The following is a 20514-nucleotide window of genomic DNA, read 5'->3' as shown; positions in this document are numbered from 1 at the left end:
CCCGTGCTTCCAGGGCTGGCGCAGACGAAGGGCGCGAGGACCCAAGGCGGTGACGCCACCGAGAGCCAGCCAATGGGCAGCGAGCGGGCAGAGCCCCAGCCGTTCGAACGGAAAGGCAGGGAAAGGGCGGGACGGGAGGAAAGAGCCAACAGTTTGGGAGCGCGCGCTAGCCCCGCCTCTGGACTCTGGGGTCCGGTCCCCATTTGCCGACACCCACCAAAGGAACGTTCTTCCCTGGGGCTGGGGTGGCCGGCGGAAGGGTGAAAGTTACCTATAACTAGTGACCAAGGAGGGGGCGTGGATAGCTAGAGGGCACACCTCCCTGATGTGACGGACGGGGTAGGGGGTATTAGCAGAGGGGAAGATGATCCAGGCCAAGGTCCAGAACCGGTGATAGCAGAGGGGAGAAAAGACGAAGCCCTCAGCCCCCGCTCCCGCCTCCCACGTAAACGTTTGGCAGAGGGTACAGATCACAGCTCCCACTTTTACAGATATGAAAGTATCTGCCTTCTTGGGCAAATGCTAATAAAACCTTTATTTAAAAAAAAAACCAAACTATTCTTTATTTGATAGCCCTGGGACATGGTGCCCTCCACCCAATAAAGCACCCTCCAGCAACCCTCCCACCCCTCACCCGATACATAGACATAGGGACACACACACACACACACACACACACACACACACACACACACACACACAGATCTGGATCCGTCTTCACTTCCTGTTGGCCTGAGCAGTACCAATAACACACTGGTTCACCTGGGGGCAGGGGGTTAGACAGGATAAAAGTTTGCAGCGTAACCAATACAACATTTTTCCCAAGATCTCCCATCCTCCAATGCTAGGGCTGCCCTCAGAAATACCGAAATAAGGCCTCCAAAGGCTGGTTCAGGCTGGTGCCAGTTATGGTTTGTTCTCCTCTGCACACTAGGTTTGGAGGAGGTGAAAAGGCTTGAGAAGAGATGGAAGCCCCAGAAGAAAATACAGGAGCAGAGAAAGGAGGCTTTCATTTCCAGCAATACCCTGTACTAGAGACCTCCAACCTCTCCCACTGTAAAACACTTAAACCGAGATAAAATAGTAATAACACCCATTTAGGAACTAGGACTCCTTAGAAAATGGATCAGTTGAAGTCTGGGGAAGGAAATGTACAAGTTGAATCTGAAAAGACTACTAGAGTTCTGTCTAAAGGACACTGGCACCAATCTGAAGGAGGCTCTTTTTTTTGTTGTTGTTGTTGAGACGGAGTCTTGCTCTGTCGCCCAGGCTGGAGTGCAGTGGCGCGATCTCGGCTCACTGCAAGCTCCACCTCCCGGGTTCAAGCCATTCTGCCTCAGACTCCCAAAGTAGCTGAGACTACAGGCGCCCGCCACCACGCCCGGTGAATTTTTTGTATTTTTAGTAGAGACGGGGTTTCACCGTGTTAGGATGGTCTCGATCTCCTGACCTCGTGATCCACCCACCTCAGCCTCCCAAAGTGCTGGGGTTACAGGCATGAGCCACCGCGCCCGGCCAGGAGGTTCCTATTGGCTAAAGATGGGGCAATTTGAGCATCAGAAAGAAGAACGACTGTGGCCGGGCTGGGTGGCTCACGCCTATAATCCCAACACTTTTGGTGGCTACAATGAGCTATGATTGAGCCACTGAATTCCAGTCTGGGCAACAGAGCAAGTCCCTGTCTCAAAAAAAATAAAAATAAAAATAACCCTCAGATAAACATTCATTGGTCACCTTTGGAAGCTGCTAGGATATCAACTCAATACTGAAAATCAATAAATAATTCAGCATTTATCTTGTTTTTCCTGTATGAATTGAATTTCAGAGAAACCAAGTAGATGGCAAGGCAAATGTCTTCATAAAAGAATCGTGACTAACCAATGCAGAACAACTAAGATTAGAAAAATCCCCATTTAGAAACCCCTTAATGAAATAAAGATCCAGGTATGGTCACTGCTGGATAAAATCACTAGGTGAAAAAGTCAATAAGGAGCTTGTAAATGGATGGGTCAGGTTGACAACACCCAAATATGATAAATAAGTGAAAGTATGGGGGAAAGAGGAAGCAACCAGCCAAAATCCAGAATAGTATATTCTATAGGACAAATGACCTTCAACAAACGACATAATAGTGGCAGTGTGGGATAGGGTTGTGGAACTTGAGACATTTCAACCAAGTGGGTGGCCCTTGCCTGGATCCTGATTTGAACAAACCTATTATGTATAAAAGACACTTCTGAGACAGTTGGGTGAAATTTAACATAAACTGGGTATTAGAGGATATTAAAGTTCATGTTGTTGGATGTTACATTGGTATAACATTAATAAAAAGTTAGAAAAAACATCACCACCCTCTAAAATTGAACTTGCAAGATAGTGAGGGAAACCCTCATCAAAGTAGAATACCAGATCAGGGTGCAGGTGCTGGCTACTCCACAGCAACAATCAGTGCTGACTGGGAGGAGGCCCAAGCGCACAGCAGGACAGACCTGATCAGACCTCAAATAAAGCCAGAGCCCATCAAAGGGCTATACGCGCAGGAGGAGGGTGTACCAGAGAAAAAAATTACTGTGGAGGCAGACAGTAAGGAAACTTTCTGACTTGCTTAACACTAGTGGAAGGAGATTCTAGTGGAAGGAATTCTCATTAGTGAGAATTCATATAGCCACTGGCTGACCCTCATGAGGTTTGGAGTCTGAATTCACACTATTTGGAATAGTCTGAAAAACCTCTAAGTCTTTGATCCAGTAATCCCATTTCAAGGACTATTTCCCTAGTTAGATGTAACTGAAAAATACAAAATGATGTATGTACAAAGTTAGTCAACGTGGCCTTGTTTGTGACTAAAAAAGTGTGGAAACAATCCAAGTGTCCAGTAGAGGGAACTGGTGGATAAATTTTGGTGCAGCTACATAGTGGAGTCTAGGCAGACCTAAAAATAATGATCTCTGTATGCTGATAGGGAGGAATCTTAGGGATTTTTTGTGTGTTGGTTTTTTGAGACAAGGTCTTACTCTGTCACCCAGGCTGAAGTGCAGTGGTAGGATCACGGCTCACTGCAGCCTCCACCTCCCAGGTTCAGGTGATCCTCCCACCTCAGCCTCCTGAGTAGCTGGAACTACAGGTGTGAGCCATTACACCCAGCTAATTTTCCTATTTTTTGTAGAGACAGGGTCTCACTATGTTGCCCAGACTGATTTTAAACTCCTGGGCTCAAGCAATCCTCCTGCCTTGGCCTCCCGAAGTGTTCGGATTATAGGCATGAGCTACTACGCCCAACCAGTTTAGACCTTTTAGTCACCTTTTCTTTTTTTTTTAATCAGCTTTCTCAGGTTAAATTAATCACCCGTTTTTTAAAAAACTTAACTCAAAAGCTAATAATTAAAAATGGAACCAGGTGAGCAGTGCCTCAGATACCTGCAAAACCTTTCTGCACAAATGTGCTCCCTGCCCTAGAAGACAAAAGGGATTGGAATGGAGAAGCCTACAACCACCCACGGGTCCTGACAAGGCTGACGGGTGGTAATCGCACCTTGGAGGCAAAGCGTAGAGAGTTGAGGGACTCGGAGACGTTCTCTTCCAGTGGAGAAATGTTCACAAACATGAGCCTATGAAAAGACAATGTGCCCAACCCCAGCATTAGGGGCCAGCAGAGCCTGGACAGGTCTCCACTGTTCCCCTTTCTACCCCTCACCCCAACACAGTTCCTACCTGACCCCTTCCATCTGTCCCTTTCACTCACATCTTAGCACTACCACCCAGAGAGTTCTGCAGCAGGTAGGTCAGTTTGCTGTTCCGGTAAGGCACGTGGGACTCCTAGATGATTGAGGTGGGGACAGATGTTTAGGAATAGGCAGGGTTCTGCACAGCCAACCCCAACTGTCCCCCAGGTCCCGTATCTCACCCCACTCCCATTCCCACCTTGTTGCTCAGGGCCATGATAACCAGCCCCAGCGTGGACAGGCTGCTGTTAATGGCCTGTGTTTCCCGAAGGCGTTCCCGCTCCCCGGGGCCGAGGGCTAAGCCGGGGTCAAGTCGCTCACTCCCGGCCAGGTCCACAAGACTGAGGGGGGCCCCACACTGCAGGCCTCGGCTGGAGTGCTCCCCAGAAATCTGTAGCTGGAATACACTGTGGCTGCGTGATGACCGTTCATTCTGGGCTGTGCGGGCCACAGCCCGATTCTGGCGGGCCAGATGAAGCAGGGCGTCCACCTGGGGATGGGAGCAGAAGGGGCAAAAAGGCAGGCAGAAGTCAGTACATAGTAATATGTATGGAAATGAATAAGAGCCCACCCCCACCCTCTTGAAGCTTTCTAGCCTGTCAAGAAACAAAATAAGATGCACAGTATGTCTGAAAATGGTAAGGAATACATAGAATAGGGAGTGTATAAAGGCGGGGTGGGGAACACAAGTTTTGACAGGATAGCCAAGATCTCCAGGAAAGAGCATCCAGGCAAAGGCCCTGAGATGGGGAGCACGACTAGCTGGTTGAGGAACAGCCAGGAGGCCAGCATGGCTAGGATGAGCTGAGCAAGAAGATGAGACATGAGATGTAGTGACCCTCCTCGTTTTGGCAGATGCATCACTCCCTCGCCACTCCCAGGTTAAGGCAGATCTACCGACAGCCCACAGGCCAAAACCGGATGTGGTAACCCAGCCTGATAACTTGCACTTCATCCTTCAATTCTCTCTTGCTCCTTTCTCCCTCTACCTCCATCTCGTGGCACCCTGCCCACTCCTCCCCATTTCCCAGTTCCAGTGCCCATGGGTCCTCACTTCTTTCTCACAGGAGACAGGGACATATCGAGCATTGGTGACAGTGAGCTCCTCACTCCCTGGCCCTGCACGGCGAATCTCACACTCGCCCCCTTGACCCTTCCGGGTTCCAGTGGCCAGCAGGTCCCGGACAGTCTCATTGTAGATCTCTACGTAGCTTGCTACAAAGCTGTAGGTCCAGCCCTGACCACTCAGCTCCTGAGCCACAGAGAAGAGGTGCCGCAGGGCCCGAGGGATCAGCCCCTCCAACTGGGGGTCTCCCCCAGGCCCACCCTCCATTGTGAAGGTCTTGCCACTGCCTGTCTGGCCATAGGCAAAGATGCATACTGGATAGCCATCCAGGGCTGACTGGACAAGCATGGCAATCTCTTCAAACACTTCATCCTGTCCACTTCCTGGTGGGAATACCCGGTCAAAGGAAAAATCATGGCGAGTTGGGGGAGCTGGTGCCCCACTCAGGGTCCCACGCCGCTCGTCAGACCGGGAGAGGCTAAGGCGGGTTGGAGGATCAGAGGGCCCACCAGGGCCAGAGGGAAACAGGAGGAGGCCAGGGGGTGGAGTGGGCTCCCCCGGCAGGACAGGGCGGACCCGGCAGAATACACGGATGTTGCCCTTGAGTTCCTGCAGCTGGTTGTGCAGTCGCCGGCGCTCCATTTCTAGCCCATGAAGACGTTCTTCCCGCTCAGTCAGTAAGGCTGCCTGGGCCACAGTCTCCTGCCGCAGAGATGCCACCTCTGCTTGGCTGCTTGACAGGGCTGCTTCTGATGTCTGCAGCCTCCTCTGCCCAGAAGAGAACACAACATACACAGAGGGTAAGATGCAACCAAGAAGAAGAACAAACTGTGGGGCGTATGGAGTGGGTGGAAGTGAGGTCCCTGCTCAAAAGGACCTCAAAGTCTGGTAAACAAAGAAAGATGAGAAAATAAGGAATCATGGTACTAAGACAGGGAGTGCTATGGGTATGTCCAAGCACAAAGAGGAGCACAAGGAAGATGATATCTAGGGTGACACCCAGAAGTACAGGAGTGAACCAAGGAAGGATGTAGTATACAAAGAACATTCCAGAAAGAGGGAAGCACATATGCAGAATGCCCAGAAGTGAAAGTTGAGTCATTTAAGAGACTGCAAATAACTTAATCTAGTTGGTGCTCACCAGGAAGGAGTCAAGTGGACATGGGAGGAGGGAAAGAGAGTACCACAGGAATTTGTGATCAGGATGGGAACCCAAAGAAAGAGGGATGGAGGACTAAGAAAGACACAGATCTAAATGAGAGCTTTGCAAACAGTCAAGGGTAGGAAGAAGCGTGGCAGAAAGCAAGACAGTCAGGAGTGGGCTGGGGTGCAGACAGGTCAAGAGAGAGGTATCTTCAGCAGCACCTATACTGCTAAAGATAGGTGCTCAGGAGTTCTCAGCCCAGACTTGAGGGGTACCTGGAAGGGAGGGGAGGCATGACCTCTGCCAGGAAAGCGGGGCTGACATCTGGTGAAAATCTGGCCCTTACCTCCTTCTCCTCTAGTTGGGACATCAGTCCCCTCCGTTCTTCCTGCAATTCCACCTGTTTTTTCTGAAGCTCTTGCACCAAGCCCTCCTGCGTGCTCAGCCGCTCTTCCAGCTCCAGGACACAAGCACGCAAGTTCTTCAGCTCCTGTTGGCCCTGCTCAGCCTGGGCCTGTACCTTGGCTAAATGCCCCTCCAGTGTTGTGCGCTCTGTCCCCAGGGCCTTGACCTGCTGCTGGGCATCTCTGAGCTGGTCCTGAAGCTGCTGGTTCTCTTGGTCCAACGTTTGAGTCCTCTCACGGCACCGTTTTAGTTCTGCATTTAGGTCACATAACTGACCCTTTAAGTCCCAGGCTGGACGTTTGCTGGGTTTCTTCCCTCCTGCCATGGGAGGAACACCTGATGCTAAGATGAACACAGAAAGGACAAAGGTCAGTGAAGTCTAGGCTCTCTATCCCTCCTCCCTTCTAGCCTTTATGGGATCCACACCTGATGCTACATCTCCTTCCCCTTAGAGACCAAATGGATTTTTCTGGTCACTCACCATCTTCTCTTCCCTATCCCAGCCTCTCACCCAGTGGTTATGTTTGTCACTTACTGCCAGACTTCTGGACAGGAACAGCAGGAACTGGCTTCTGGTTCTTCAACCCTACAGAATTGAGGAGGTGACTTAGGAATTACAGGACCAGTGTCCCTCCACCTCCATCATTCTCCCTTTACACATACCCCAAATCCCTTCTCAGACCCAGCTCTTGAGCACAGTTACCTGTGGCAATAGCTGTGGAACACCGGGGTCCTGTCTTCTTGGAAACTTTTTGAGCTGCCCAGGAGATGGGAGAGAGCAAAGGTAGAATGATCATTCTTAAGATGGCATGTACACTTGCTAGGACAGGGGCAGAAGAAGTGCTTTTCTCAGAATTAGAAATAGGATAACTTCCTTCCCTTATCCCTAAGTCTGGCCAGCTCCTAATGATACCTCCCCTAGAACCAGAAATTACAGTCATCCCTCAGTATCCAAAAGGGGTTGATTCCAGCACCCCCCAAGAATACCAAAATCCAAGGATGCCCAAGTCCCTTACATAAATAGGTATATAGTATTAAATATAGTCTATGCACACGCTCCCATATACTTTATTTATTGATTGACTGAGACAGAGTTTCACTTGTTGTCCAGGCTGAAGTGCAATGGCATGATCTCAGCTCACAGCAAACTCTACCTCCAGGGTTCAAGCGATTCTCCCGCCTCAGCCTCCCGAGTAGCTGGGATTATAGGTATGCGCCACCACGCCCAACTAATTTTGTATTTTTAGTAAAGACGGGGTTTCACCATGTTGATTAGGCTGGCCTCAAACTCCTGACCTCTGGTGATCTGCCTGCCTTGGCCTCCATTTTGTTTTTTTTTTGAGATGGAGTTGCACTCTTCTCACCCAGGCTGGAATGCAATGGCGCGATCTCAGCTCACTACAACCTCCACCTCCAGGGTTCAAGCAATTCTTCTGCCTCAGCCTCCTGAGTAGCTGGGATTACAGGCAAGCGCCACCACGCCTGGCTAATTTTTTTTTTTTTGTATTTTTAGTAGAGACAGGTTTTCAGCATGTTGGCCAGGCTGGTCTCAAACTCCTGACCTCAGGTGATCTGCCTGCCTCAGCCTCCCAAAGTGCTGGGATTACAGGCGTGAGCCACCACATCCAGCCGCATATACTTTAAATCATCTTTAGATTACTTATAATATCTAACACAATGTAAATGCTATGTTAATACAGTCATGTGCCCATAATGACATTTCGGTCAATGACAGACTGCATATACAACAGTAGCCCCGTAACATTATAATGGAGCTAAAAATTCCTATTGCCTAGTGACATTATAGCCATGGTAATGTCATAGCATTCCTCACCTGTTTGTGGTGATTCTGATATAAACGAACCTAATGCACTGCCAGTTGTATAAAAGTATAACACATATAATTACATATAGTACATAATACCTAATAATGATAATGACTATGTTACTAGTTTATATATTTACCGTACTGTACTTTTTATTGTTATTTTAGGGTATACTCCTTCTATTTGCAAAAACAGTTAACTATAAAACAGCCTCAGGCATGTCATTCAAAAGGCATTCCAGGCCAGGCACTGTGGCTCACGCCTGTAATCCCAGCACTTTGGGAGGCCGAGGTGGGCAGATCAAGGGGTCAGGAGATTGAGACCATCCTGGCTAACACGGTGAAACCCCGTCTCTCCTAAAAATACAAAAACAAAATTAACCAGGCGTGGTGGCGGGCACCTGTAGTCCCAGCTACTCCGGAGGCTGAGGCAGGAGAATGGTGTGAACCCAGGAGACGGAGCTTGCAGTGAGCCGAGATCATGCCACTGCACTCTAGCCTGGGCGACAGTGCGAGACTCCGTCTCAAAAAAAAAAAAAAAGGCAATCCAGAAGAAAGCATTGTTATCACAGGAAGTCACATCTCCATGTGTGTTACTGCCCCTGAAGATCTTCCAGTGAGACAAGATGTGGAGGTGAAAGCCAGTGATGTTGATGATCCTGACCCTATGTAGGCCTAGGCTAATGTGTATATTTCTTCGTTTTTAACAAAAAGTTTGAAAAGCAAAATAATATTTAAAATTTTTCAAATTTAAGCTTATTTCTTGGAAAAAATACAAATAAATAAAATTTTAAATTAAAAAAAGAATTTCAGGCGGGGCGCAGTAACTCATGTCTGTAATCCCAGCACTTTGGGAGGCTGAGGCGGGCGGATCACGAGGTCAGGAGATCGAGACCATCCTGACTAATACGGTGAAACCCCATCTCTACTAAAAATACAAAAAATTAGCTGGGTATGATGGCACACACCTATAGTCCCAGCTACTCGGGAGGCTGAGGCAGGAGAATCACTTGAACCCAGGAGGCGGAGGTTACACTGAGCCGAGATCACGCCATTGCACTCCAGCCTGGGCGAAAGAGCGAGACTCTGTCTCAAAAACAAAAAACAAAAAACAAAAATTTTATTTTCAAGCCAGGAGACAGAGATTCATATTGCCCTGAATATATGCTCCCCGCCCAAAACAAAATTTAGATAGAAAAAAAGCATGAGGAATAAGGATATAAAGGAATAAAATATTTCTGTAAAGCTATACAATGTTTGTGTTTTCAGTTGTTATTACAAGAGTCAAAAAGTTAGCCGGGCGCAGTGGCTCACGCCTGTAATCCCAACACTTTGGGAAGCTGAGGCAGGCAGATCACGAGGTCAGGAGATCGAGACCATCCTGGCTAACATGGTGAAACCCTGTCTCTATTAAAAATACAAAAAAACAAAATTAGCCAAGTGTGGTGGAGGGCGCCTGTAGTCCCAGCTACGCGGAAGGCTGAGGCAGGAAAATGGCGGGAACCCGGGAGGCGGAGCTTGCAGTGAGCCGAGATTGTGCCACTGCACTCCAGCCTGGGCGACAGAGCGAGACTCCATCTCAAAAAAAAAAGAGAGAGAAGCTCTCGGCTTTCGGCTCGGAGGAGGCCAAGGTGCAACTTTCTTCGGTCATCCTGAATCTGGGTTCATCCGACACCAGCTGCCTCCACCATGCCACCGAAGTTCGACCCCAACGAGATCAAGGTCGTATACCTGAGGTGCACCAGAGGTGAAGTCGGTGCCACTTCTGCCCTGGCCCCCAAGATCGGCCCCCTGGGTCTGTCTCCAAAAAAGGTTGGTGATGACATTGCCAAGGCAACGGGTGACTGGAAGGGCCTGAGGATTACAGTGAAACTGACCATTGAGAACAGACAGGCCCAGATTGAGGTGGTGCCTTCTGCCTCTGCCCCGATCATCAAAGCCCTCAAGAAACCACCAAGAGACAGAAAGAAACAGAAAAACATTAAACACAATGGGAATATCACTTTTGATGAGATCGTCAACATTGCTCGACAGATGCGGCACCGATCCTTAGCCAGAGAACTCTCTGGAACCATTAAAGAGATTCCGGGGACTGCCCAGTCTATGGGCTGTAATGTTGATGGCCACCACCCTCATGACATCATAGATGACATCAACAGTGGTGCTGTGGAATGCCCAGCTAGTTAAGCACAAAGGAAAATATTTCAATAAAGGATCATTTGACAACTGGTCGAAAAAAAAAAGTTAAAAAAAGATTAAAATGTTACATCAGCCTTGGCAAGTGGGAAAAAAAATGTTAAGTTTATAAAGTAAAATAGTTATAGTAAACTAAGGTTAATTTATTATAAAAGAACTATTTTTTATAAATTTGATGTAGCCTAACTGTACCATGTTTCTAAAGTCTACAGCAGTGTACAGTAAGGCCCTAGGCCTTCACATTCACTCACCACTCACTCACTAACTCACCCAGAGCAACTTCCATTCAAACATGCTCCATTTAATGGTTAGTACCCTGTACAGGTGTGCCATTTTTTATCATTTATATTATATTTTAACTGTACCTTTTCTATGTTTAGGTATGTTTATATACACAAATGGTTACCACTGTGTTATGTTACCTACCATGCTTCAGTATAGTAACACGCCACACAGGCTTGTTGCCCAAGAACAATAGGCTATCGCAGATAGCCTAGGTGTGTAGCAGGCTAGATCATCTAGGTTTCAGTAAGTACATTCTATGATGTTTCCACAATAATGCATTTCTGATAATGTATCTGCATTGCCAAGTGACACATGACCATAACTGTTATACTGTATTTTTTGGTTTTATTTTTTATTTTCCATGAATATTTTCTCATTTTTTTTTTTGAGACCGAGTCTCGCTCTGTCGCCAGGCTGGCACAATCTCGGCTCACTGCAACCTCCACCTCCTGGGTTCTAAGCAATTCTCCTGCCTCAGCCTCCAGAGTAGCTGGGATTACAGGCACGGGCCATCACGTCTGGCTAATTTTATATTTTTAGTAGAGACAGGGTTTCAACCATATTGGCCAGGCTGGTCTGGAACTCCGGACCTCAGGTAATCTACACACCTTGGCCCCCCAAAGTGCTGGGATTACAGGCATGAGCCACTGTGCCCACTCTCCTTGAATATTTTCAACCGATGGTTGGTTGAATCTGCAGAAGCAGAACCCACGGATACAGAGGGCCAACTGTACTCCATATGCCAAAAAGCAATTTGGATTAAGATAAGTAAAAGCAGGACCATGTCTAAAGTATGCCACCATTTATGTAAAAAAGGTGGGGGAGTATAGTCTTACTTGCTTGAATACCAATAGAATTTCCCTGGAAGAACACACAGTTGCCCTGGGTAGCAGAATTGGGTGGCTGGAGGACAGAAATAGGAAGCAAACTTCACTATACAACAACCTTTGTGCCTTTGGAATTTTGAACCAAATGAAATGTTATTACCTATTCAAAATAGGCTGGGTGCGGTGCCTCACACCTATAATCCCAGCACTTTGGAAGGCAGAGGCGGGTGGATCACCTGAGGTCAGGAGTTCAAGACCAGCCTGGCCAACATGGCGAAACCCCATCTCTACTGAAAAAAATACAAAAATTAGCTGGGCATGGTGTGGGCACCTGTAATCCCAGCTACTCGGGAGGCTGAGGTAGGAGAATCGTTTGAACCTGGGAGGAGGAGGTTGCAGTGAGTGAGATTGAGCCACTGCACTCCAGCCTGGGCGATAGAGCGAGACTCTGTCTCAAAAAAAATAAAATAAAATTGAAAGAAAAGAAACAAGTGAGTTGAAGAGCACTGGACTTCCATGTCCTTGGAGTCTATCCATCCTGAGAGCCCACCTGTGGTCTGGCCTTGTGTCTGTGGCACTGTAGTGAGGGATGGAACTCTTGGGTGGGATGTGGTAATTTTGGTCGTTGCACCCAGGCCTCTTGTCCGTTTCTGGGGAAAGATAAAGACAAGGTCCATAGTCACCCTCCCTAATGGTTTATACTCTCTCTCTCCTTTCTTTCACACACACACACCCCCCACACACATGCACAGCTCTCCATGCCCAGCTCACCTTCTCAGGCTCCAGGCCATCTTCCATCTGGTCAGGCCTCCTCTTGAGTCTGCTTCCTGAGAGAGGCAGCTGGGAAGGGGCCTTAATCAGAGGTCTCTTCAGTTCTATGTTCCCCTTTACTTCCAATAGGGGGGACCTCTGTTGGGAAAAGAGACCCTTAAGACAATACCCAGGAGCCCAAATGTCCCAAGAACTTCCTGTCTTGGCCCCCAGCCTCAATTGTCAACACCACCACCAAGCACTGAGCACCACTTGTGCCAAAAGCTGAATTATGTGCCAGACAGCATGAACAGAAGTGAGGACATAACCTAAAAGTGGGAATAACCTCTAGGGGAAAAGCTGGACTTGACTAACTTTAAGGGTGGGACTCAAACAAGCAGAGAGGAATGGATGCTCTTCCTGGAAGGCAAAAATTCAAATATGTACATAGCATGGCTAAGAAACCAACTGGCCCTTTTGGCTGGAGCTGAGAATCATAAACAAGGGAGAGAGTGGAAGATATGTGAGTGTTGAAGACTGCTTGGGAGAATCAGGCAATATTTACTGAGCCATGTTTGAAATGTTTCACCTGGACCGGGTGCAGTGGCTTATGCCTGTAATCCCAGCACTTTGGGAGGCAGAGGTGGGCAGATCACAAGGTCAGGAGTTTGAGACTAGCCTGACCAACATGGTGAAATCCCGTCTCTACTAAAAATACAAAAATTAGCTGGGTGTGGTGGCACATGCCTGCAATCCCAGCTACTCGGGAGGCTGAGTCAGGAGAATCGCCTGAACCTGGGAGGCAGAGGTTGCGGTGAGCCGAGATCACGCCACTGCACTCCAACCTGGGCAATAGAGTAAGACTCCGTCTCAAAAAAAAAAAAAAAAAAAGGGCATTAGAACTTAATTCTGGGCGAGCACGGTGGCTTATGCCTGTAATTCCAGCATTTTGGGAGGCTGAGGCGGGCAGATTACTTGAGGTCAGGAGTTCAAGACCAGCCTGACCAACATGGTGAAACCCTGTTTCTACAAAAATTACCCAGGCATGGTGGCATGTGCCTGTAATCCAGCTACTTGGGAGGCCAAGGAGGAGAATCGCTTGAACGATTGGTGGAGGTTGCGGTGAGCCGAGATCACAACACTGCACTCCAGCCTGGGTGACAGAGCGAGACTACGTCTCAAAAAAAAAAAAAAAAAAAAGAACTTGGCCAGGCGCGGTGGCTTATGCCTATAATCCCAGCACTTTGGGAGGCCGAGGCGGGCAGATCACAAGGTCAGGAGATCAAGACCATCCTAGCTAACACGGTGAAATCCCGTCTCTACTAAAAAATACAAAAAATTAGCCGGGCGTGGTGGCAGGCGCCTGTAGTCCCAGCTCCTGGGGAGGCTGAGGCAGGAGAATGGCGTGAACCCGGGAGGCGGAGCTTGCAGTGAGCCAAGATTGTGCCACTGCACTCCAGCCTGGGTGACAGAGCGAGACTCCGGTCTCAAAAAAAAAAAAAAGAAATTAATTCTCATGGAACCTAGTTGAAAGGGGCTATTCTAGAAGCTTGAGGGCTAAGCTAGGCAGACATCCACCTTAGCGAACCAGATGACATTTGCCTGTGGTCCCAGCTACAAGGGAGGCTGAGGTGGGAGGATGGCTTGGGCCCAGATCAAGGCTGCAGTGAGCCGTGATCATGCCACTGCACTCCAGCACTCCAGCCTGGGCGACATATTGAGATCCTGTCTCAAAAAAAAAAAAAAAAAAAGAAAAGAAAAGAAAGAAAAAGAAAAAGAAAAGAAATAACACAGAGATCTGAGTACCTGAAGAGTTGTTTTTTGTTTATTTGTTTTTGAGACAGGGTTGCCCAAGCTGGCTTTGAACTTTGAGTTCAAGTGCTCCTCCTGCCTTAGCCTCTTAAGTGCCTAGGACAACAAGCACATGCCACTGGACCCAGCAGGATTGGTTTCATGGATGCTAAGTTCAATTTTGGGAAAGTGAGTTTGAGCTACCCGTGATACAGTGAGATTTACTCAAGGAAGTTCACAGAGCATCATTATTTTTAAAAATCATGAAACAACCTGATACACTGTTTTCTTTTGTTTTTATTATCATAACCCCTACATAAGACTGTGAGCACCATAAGAATTCATCTGTTTTGTTCATAACTATATAACCAGAGGGCCTAGTACAATGTCTGCTACATGGTAGGACTCTACAGTTTTTGAAGGAATGAAATTGAATGTTCATCAGTGGGGCAATACTTAAACTGTGATATATCCATACCATTGGCTTCTATAAAAATAAAAAGGGAAAAAAAGAGGTAGCATTTTTCCTGCCACCTACAGAAGTGTGCACAAAGAAAGCTTATTTTAATTTAGTGTAATCAAATATAGTATGGAAACCAAATTTTTCTTTAAGTATTCCAAAGTCAAACACTAATTTTTAAAAATAACCTGTGCCCTTCCTCCTCTCTACACTACCGTAGTGGATCTGCTACAGACCTACCTCCTTGGAATTTATGCCGGTTCAGAAAATGTGTTTAAAGGTTTGTTTATTCAGGACAACTCCAAAGACCACAGTATATATATTTTTCCCATCTATTAATATAAAGCTAGAATGATGCCCTCCAACTTTCCACAGTGAGAAGCATAAGCACTTAACCTTCTATAAGAACAGATATTCATGCAACCCTGCCTACATCCACCTCACCACAAGATCAGAGGTGGATGGCCCTGCTCCTAAGGCAACCCTTTCATATATGCATCACATTCCCATCCCTCCTCACCAAATCCTGGACTCGCCAAATCCTCCCAGTTTCAGGAACATTCCTCCAGCAATCCTCCCTTCTCACCTCTGCACCATCAGCTTTGTACTCTATGGCATCACTCCAATTGGCATACCACAAACTCTATTATTTCTTCGAAACTAAAAGAATCTGAACTCTGCTTTCCCTAACAGGTACTATCCTTTTTCCTTGCCGCCTTTCGCAGCAAAACTCTAAAGTATTACCTCTAGTGTATTCATCGTGGCCAATTTCTCTCCTAAGCCCATTGCAATCAGGCTTTCATTCCCACCATTCCATCGAAATTGCTATCCTCAAGATCACAAGTAACTTCATGTTGCTAAGTCAATTCTTTATCTTCATTTTCTTGACCCATCAAACAGCATCTGATACAACTGATTACTCCCTTTTCCTTAATAGGCTTTCTTCAGTTAGCTTCCAGGAGACCACTCTTTCTTACCTCACTGGCAGGTCCTCCTCATCTCTCCAGATTTTAACAGCATTCTCTATCTATACTCACTATCCACTCCCATGCCTTTAAATATCATTGATATGCTGACAGTTTCCAAATTTATATGTCCAGCTCAGACCTCGATCCTGCACCTATACTGAACTGCATCGTCAACATCGCTATTTAAGGCTGGGAGTGGTGCCTCATGCCTGTAATCCCAGCACTTTGGGAGGCCGAGGCGGGCGGATCACTTGAGTTCAGGAGTTCGAGACCAGCCTGGCCAACATGGCAAAACCCTGTCTCTACTAAAAATACAAAAATTAGCCAGGTGTGCTGGCACGTGCCTGTAATCCCAGCTACTCGGGAGATTGAGGTGGGAGGATTGCTTGAAGCTGGGAGGTAGAAGTTGCAGTGAGCTGAGATCACACCACTGCACTCCAGCCTGGGCAACAGAGTGAGAGACTCCGTATCAAAAAAAATCTCCATTTGGAAGTCTAATAACTGACCTCTTGATGTCCAACCCTGCTTTGAACTTGCTCCTTTTGCAGCTTTCTCCATCTCAATTGATATAACTCCATCTTTCAGTTGCTCAAGCCAAAAACCCAGAGTCCTCTCTTTCTCCTACATACCACATCTAATCTGTCAGCAAAGCATGGCTGATTGTACCTTCAAAATATATCCAGAATCCAATCACTTTTTACTGTTTCTTCCACTGCTATCACCCTGACCTAAGACACCATCATCTGGCACCTAGATTATCATAAACCAGTGGTTCTCAACTGGGGGTGATTTTATCCCCAAGGTGACATTTGACAATGTCCAATGCAGTCCTGTACACTGTCAGATGCCTAGCAGCATCCCTGCCCTCTACCCACTAGATGCCAGTAGCAACCCCCCACCTAGTCACGACAATAAAAAATGTTGGCCAGGTGCAGTGGCTCATGCCTGTAATCCGAGCACTTTGGGAGGCCGAGGTGGGAGGATCATGAGGTCAGGAAATTGAGACCATCCGGGCTAACGCGGTGAAACCCTGTCTATACTAAAAATACAAAAAATTAGCCGGGCGTGGTGGCAGGCGCCTGTAGTCCCAGCTACTCGGGAGGCTGAGGCAGGAGAATCGCCTGAACCCGGGAGGCGGAGGTTGCAGTGAGCCGAGACCGCGCCACTGCACTCCAGGCTGGCGACAGAGCGTGACTACTTCTCAAAAAAAAAAAAAAAAATGTTGCAGGGCACGGTGGCTCATGCCTGTAATCCCAGCACTCTCGGAGGCCGAGGCAGGCGAATTGCTTGAGCCCAGGAGTTAGTTCCAGACCAGCCTGGGCAACATGGCAAAACCCTGTCTCTATTAAAAATACAAAAAATCAGCCAGGCATGGTGGCAGCTGCCTGTAGTCCCAGCTACTCAGGAGGCTGAGGTGGGAGGATCACTTGAGCCCAGGAAGTTAAGGCTCCAGTGAGCCATGATCATGCCACTGCACTCCAGCCTGGGAACAGAGAAAGAGAACCTGTCTCAAAAAAAAAAAAAAAAAAAAAAAGGCAATGGTGCTATGGTTACGAAAATCTGGTGGACCCAACAAATCTTATCTCTCTGCTTAAAATCATCCAATGATTCCCCATCTCACTCAGAGTAAAAGTCCTCACAACGACCCCCACAAGGACAAACTGTGATCAGCAACCCCACTACCCATTACCTGACTTCCTTTCCCACAACTTTTCCCCTTGCTCACTTCATTCCAGCCACACTTCCCTCCTTACAACTCTTTAGGGACTCTGCTCTAGCAGATTCCCTCTGCCTGAAATGTTCTTCCCTCACTATCTGCTTGTCTGTCTCCCTCACTTCCTTCAAGTCTTTATTCAACTCATCTTTTCCATGGGGGTTACTGAGACCACCCTATTTAATACTCTAACCCGCCAGTTGGCCTCCCCTATGTCCTCAACCTTGAATTTCTCCTTTTCTCCACAGCACTTACGGCCTTCTGGCAGTTATATAATTCATTTATTACATTTATTGTCTGTATCCCCATAGAATGGCAGCTCCACGATGGCAACGATTTGTCCCTTGTTCACTGCTGCATCCTAAGTACCTACAACCACGCCTAGCATGTAGTAGGTGCTCAATAAATACTTGATTAATAGATCTGAGAAGGCTTTTACTACTTCTTACTGTCACATAATACTACTCTGCTCTCTGGTTGTCACGAGAGAAAGAATCTCTCTTAAGGCTGAATCCTAACTTCAGGGAAACCTGAACGTGAAATACTAGTAAACAAAGGATTCAGGCAGACCTTTCCTGGCACCAGAGATAAGTACACTCCAGCTGTCACACACATTCATCTCTCTTCACTGGAGACAGGAAGCTGCATATGGTTGTGGGGTGCAGCAGGGCACCATTTAAGAGAAAGAACTAAATCAATCAGTTTCATTGGGCAGGAATCTGCACAATTTGGGAAAGGAGAGAGAGAATGAGAAGTCTTTTGGCCCAGATTACCCTACTCTCCTTCTCCCTTTCCTACACTCCGAAGCAGCAGTGATAAGGAGAGGCGATTAACACAAAAGGACCTCAGCAAGGATGTGGCCTCAGACACCATGTCCCCAAAAGGAAGAAGTCATATCAGAACTCTCCCTTCTTACACACTGCAATCACACCCTGAGTAGGAATAAAGAAGTGGAAATGTGTCAGACGAGCCTGAGAATTCGAAATGAGAAATCTCGGAGACATGAAAGTTAAGGGAGGGGCTCCAGAAACTTGAAGCTAGGGGAGGGCAGACAGACGTGCCTTCCGACCTCCCCGGGTGCTCTAAGCCGTCTCCACTCCTGCCTCCGCCCCTTTCCACTTGTGCGGGGGCGCACGGACCTTCGCTCTCCCGGTAGACATGACAAAGGCCGACCGGGAGCCGGGGGCGCGACAGCATCGGAGCGGTCAGCCTTCGTCCCCATCCCCAGGGCAGGACACCTGCGCCGCCCCTACTCACCTGCGGATCCATGTCCACCTCGGTCCCACACGCGCCGGGGGAATGCAGTGGAAGAGAACTGGGTGCCGGGGATCCTGGGACTCGCGTTCTCTCGCCCGCTCGCGAAGCAGGGTAGAGAACTCGCACGGCTCCGGCCGCTACCAGCCCCGCGCCACACCCGCCACTTTTGAATTCCAACGGCCACCACCCACTCTCACCGCGCTCTGCACGCAGGGACCAATCGTCGCTGTCGCCACAGCCGAGGGCCAATCGCAGCGTTCTCCGCCACCCGAAGCCACACCCCGCCCGACAGGCGCCTTGTCTTTTCTGTTTCGCAGGCGCAGGAGAGGTAGGCGGATTAATTCCACTTCCGGTGCCACTTATGCTTCTCACCCCTCCCCTCCTCTAGCGGCAATAGTGCTGGACTTCCGCTCGGCTCCCCGCCGTCGCTCGCTACGTCAGAAAATGCGTGGACGTCGCCGCACGAACGCAACTGGCCAAGCGAAACTGGTGGCGGCCGGAGGAGAAGGGGCGGGGACGCTGGAGGAAAGAAATGACGCGTGCGCAAACGAGGACCCGTGCCGGGAGACAGGCGGGACTAGCGCCTCCTGGTGACTGCAGTAGGGAGCGCACTTGTTTTCCGTCGACGTGATTGAGGCTCCAGCGCTGCCTCTCCTGGTCGTGGTTGACTGGGCCCGGAAGTGGCTCCTGGAGCCCTCACGTGGATGTGAGTGGCCTGGTCTGTTCATTCCCTGGTAATGTTGCCATTTCTCACCAAATTTAGGAATTTTTGCGCTCCATTGAAGCCTGACAGTGGGGATTCAAAGCTCAGGAAAGAACTTTTCTTTATAGCCCTCTTCTCTCAGCCAGCCTACTTACCTGGGTGCTGTTACTGGTACTGGGCTCAGGGCCTTTGGAGTCTCGAGCTCGGGGAAGATTTACTGCTTCCATTTATGGAGTATTTTATGTTTTGCAGATTGTGCACCTGTATTATCTCGTCTTTTAATCACGAAAATTCACTGAGTTCCTACATTGTGCCACATTCTTTGTAGAGATGGATGGAGACAGGTTCAGAAAGATTACACAATAAGGTCACACTGCTGGTTAGGAATGGATCTAGATTCCATTAGCTTCAAAATCCAAGCTATTTCTGTTAACTCACGTTGCCTCTAACAGTCTCGGTGACAAGAGCAACCCCTTACGTGTGAATAGGGTGCTAGTTTGCAAAGTCGTTCTACCATATTTACTCATCCGAGTTTCCATCCAATCCTGGAGGTAGTCAGGACAGGGTTTTATTTATGAAACCGAAAGGCAGGGGCCTCAAGCATATGTTCGGGGATTTGGTGTGCAGTTGGAAATTGGCAGGTCTGACACCCGCGCTGCCGTCTTCTATCCATTGCTTTAACTTGGCTTCAAACAAGCTTGTAGAGAGAAGCAGATTGTGGGGAGACACACTGTCTGAAAACCATGTTGCCATCCCCCCAACCTTTGATATCCTGGGAAAACTCCAAAAAGCAAGAGCTTGAAGAGAACACAGTAAAAAGAAAAGGAAGAAACTAGAGAAAACCAACAATGGAAGGTAAAGGGGGATAACTGAGAAGGGAGACCTGAGAAGAAACATATAGCAAAAGATATTTATCAAATTAAAAAAAAATTTAAATGGAATGGAGAAATATAGACCCATTAGCAGATTAAAGGGGGAAAATGTATTCATCTCAATTGATGCAGCAAAGTCACTCAAAATATTCAACACCCGTTGATATTTTTTTTAAAACTCCAGAAGCTGATAAAGGACATCTTCAAAAATTTCGCAAAACACATCACCATAATGGGGAAATGTTGAAAGCGTTCCTTTCAAGATGGGGAACAAGGCAAGGATGCCTGCTCTCAATAATCCTCATCAATAAAACAATGGAAGTTGTAGCCAGTCCAATAAGCAACAAATATATAAGGACTACAAGAAACATTAATGTTAATATTCGCAGATGAAATTATTGCATGTGCAGCATCCCTAAAATAAAATTCAGATAGAATTGATAAATAAGTTTAGCAAGGTTGATGGATAAAAAATCAGTAAGAGGAAAAAATCAATTTTCAAAATCAATTGCATTTCCGTCTTCAGCAA

At 47.7% G+C, this 20514-nt stretch overlaps 1 protein-coding gene and 1 pseudogene across 4 annotated transcripts; one reads left to right on the top strand and one right to left on the bottom strand.

Annotated features, from left to right (window-relative positions):
• Positions 1 to 511: 511 nt before the first annotated feature.
• On the bottom strand, positions 512 to 18947 carry KIFC1 (kinesin family member C1). Of its 4 annotated transcripts, XM_011514585.2 has the most exons (12): positions 18411 to 18585; positions 12242 to 12379; positions 12021 to 12120; positions 7041 to 7094; positions 6873 to 6923; positions 6279 to 6679; positions 4777 to 5556; positions 3922 to 4212; positions 3743 to 3816; positions 3533 to 3608; positions 867 to 930; positions 512 to 762 (listed from the first exon to the last, which is right to left on the bottom strand). In XM_011514585.2, exons 1-11 carry the CDS (start codon positions 18420 to 18422, stop codon positions 907 to 909), a joined length of 2001 nt encoding a protein of 666 aa, XP_011512887.1. In that variant the 5' UTR covers positions 18423 to 18585; the 3' UTR covers positions 512 to 762; positions 867 to 906. The 4 variants fall into 4 exon arrangements, with proteins under 4 accessions (XP_011512887.1, XP_016866326.2, NP_002254.2 ...); XM_017010837.2 differs by lacking the exons at positions 867 to 930; positions 18411 to 18585 and adding an exon at positions 18608 to 18947; NM_002263.4 differs by lacking the exon at positions 867 to 930.
• RPL12P1 (ribosomal protein L12 pseudogene 1) lies at positions 9764 to 10396 on the top strand (annotated as a pseudogene).
• Positions 18948 to 20514: the final 1567 nt, after the last annotated feature.

Source organism: Homo sapiens, chromosome 6, assembly GCF_000001405.40.
Source record: "Homo sapiens chromosome 6, GRCh38.p14 Primary Assembly".
Classification (NCBI taxonomy): Eukaryota; Metazoa; Chordata; class Mammalia; order Primates; family Hominidae; genus Homo; species Homo sapiens.
Note: the sequence above shows the minus strand (reverse complement) of the source record. Positions and strands in the feature narration are given on the sequence as shown.

Excerpts from the sequence above, each read along its gene's own strand:
- KIFC1 (NM_002263.4), bottom strand. Across the intron at positions 7,095-12,020 it reads GACACAAGGCCAGACCACAG|CTCAAAAAGTTTCCAAGAAG; the intron begins GTGGGCTCTCAG and ends TCTCCTGGGCAG. Across the intron at positions 3,609-3,742 it reads CTGGGTGGTAGTGCTAAGAT|GCTCATGTTTGTGAACATTT; the intron begins GTGAGTGAAAGG and ends GTCTTTTCATAG.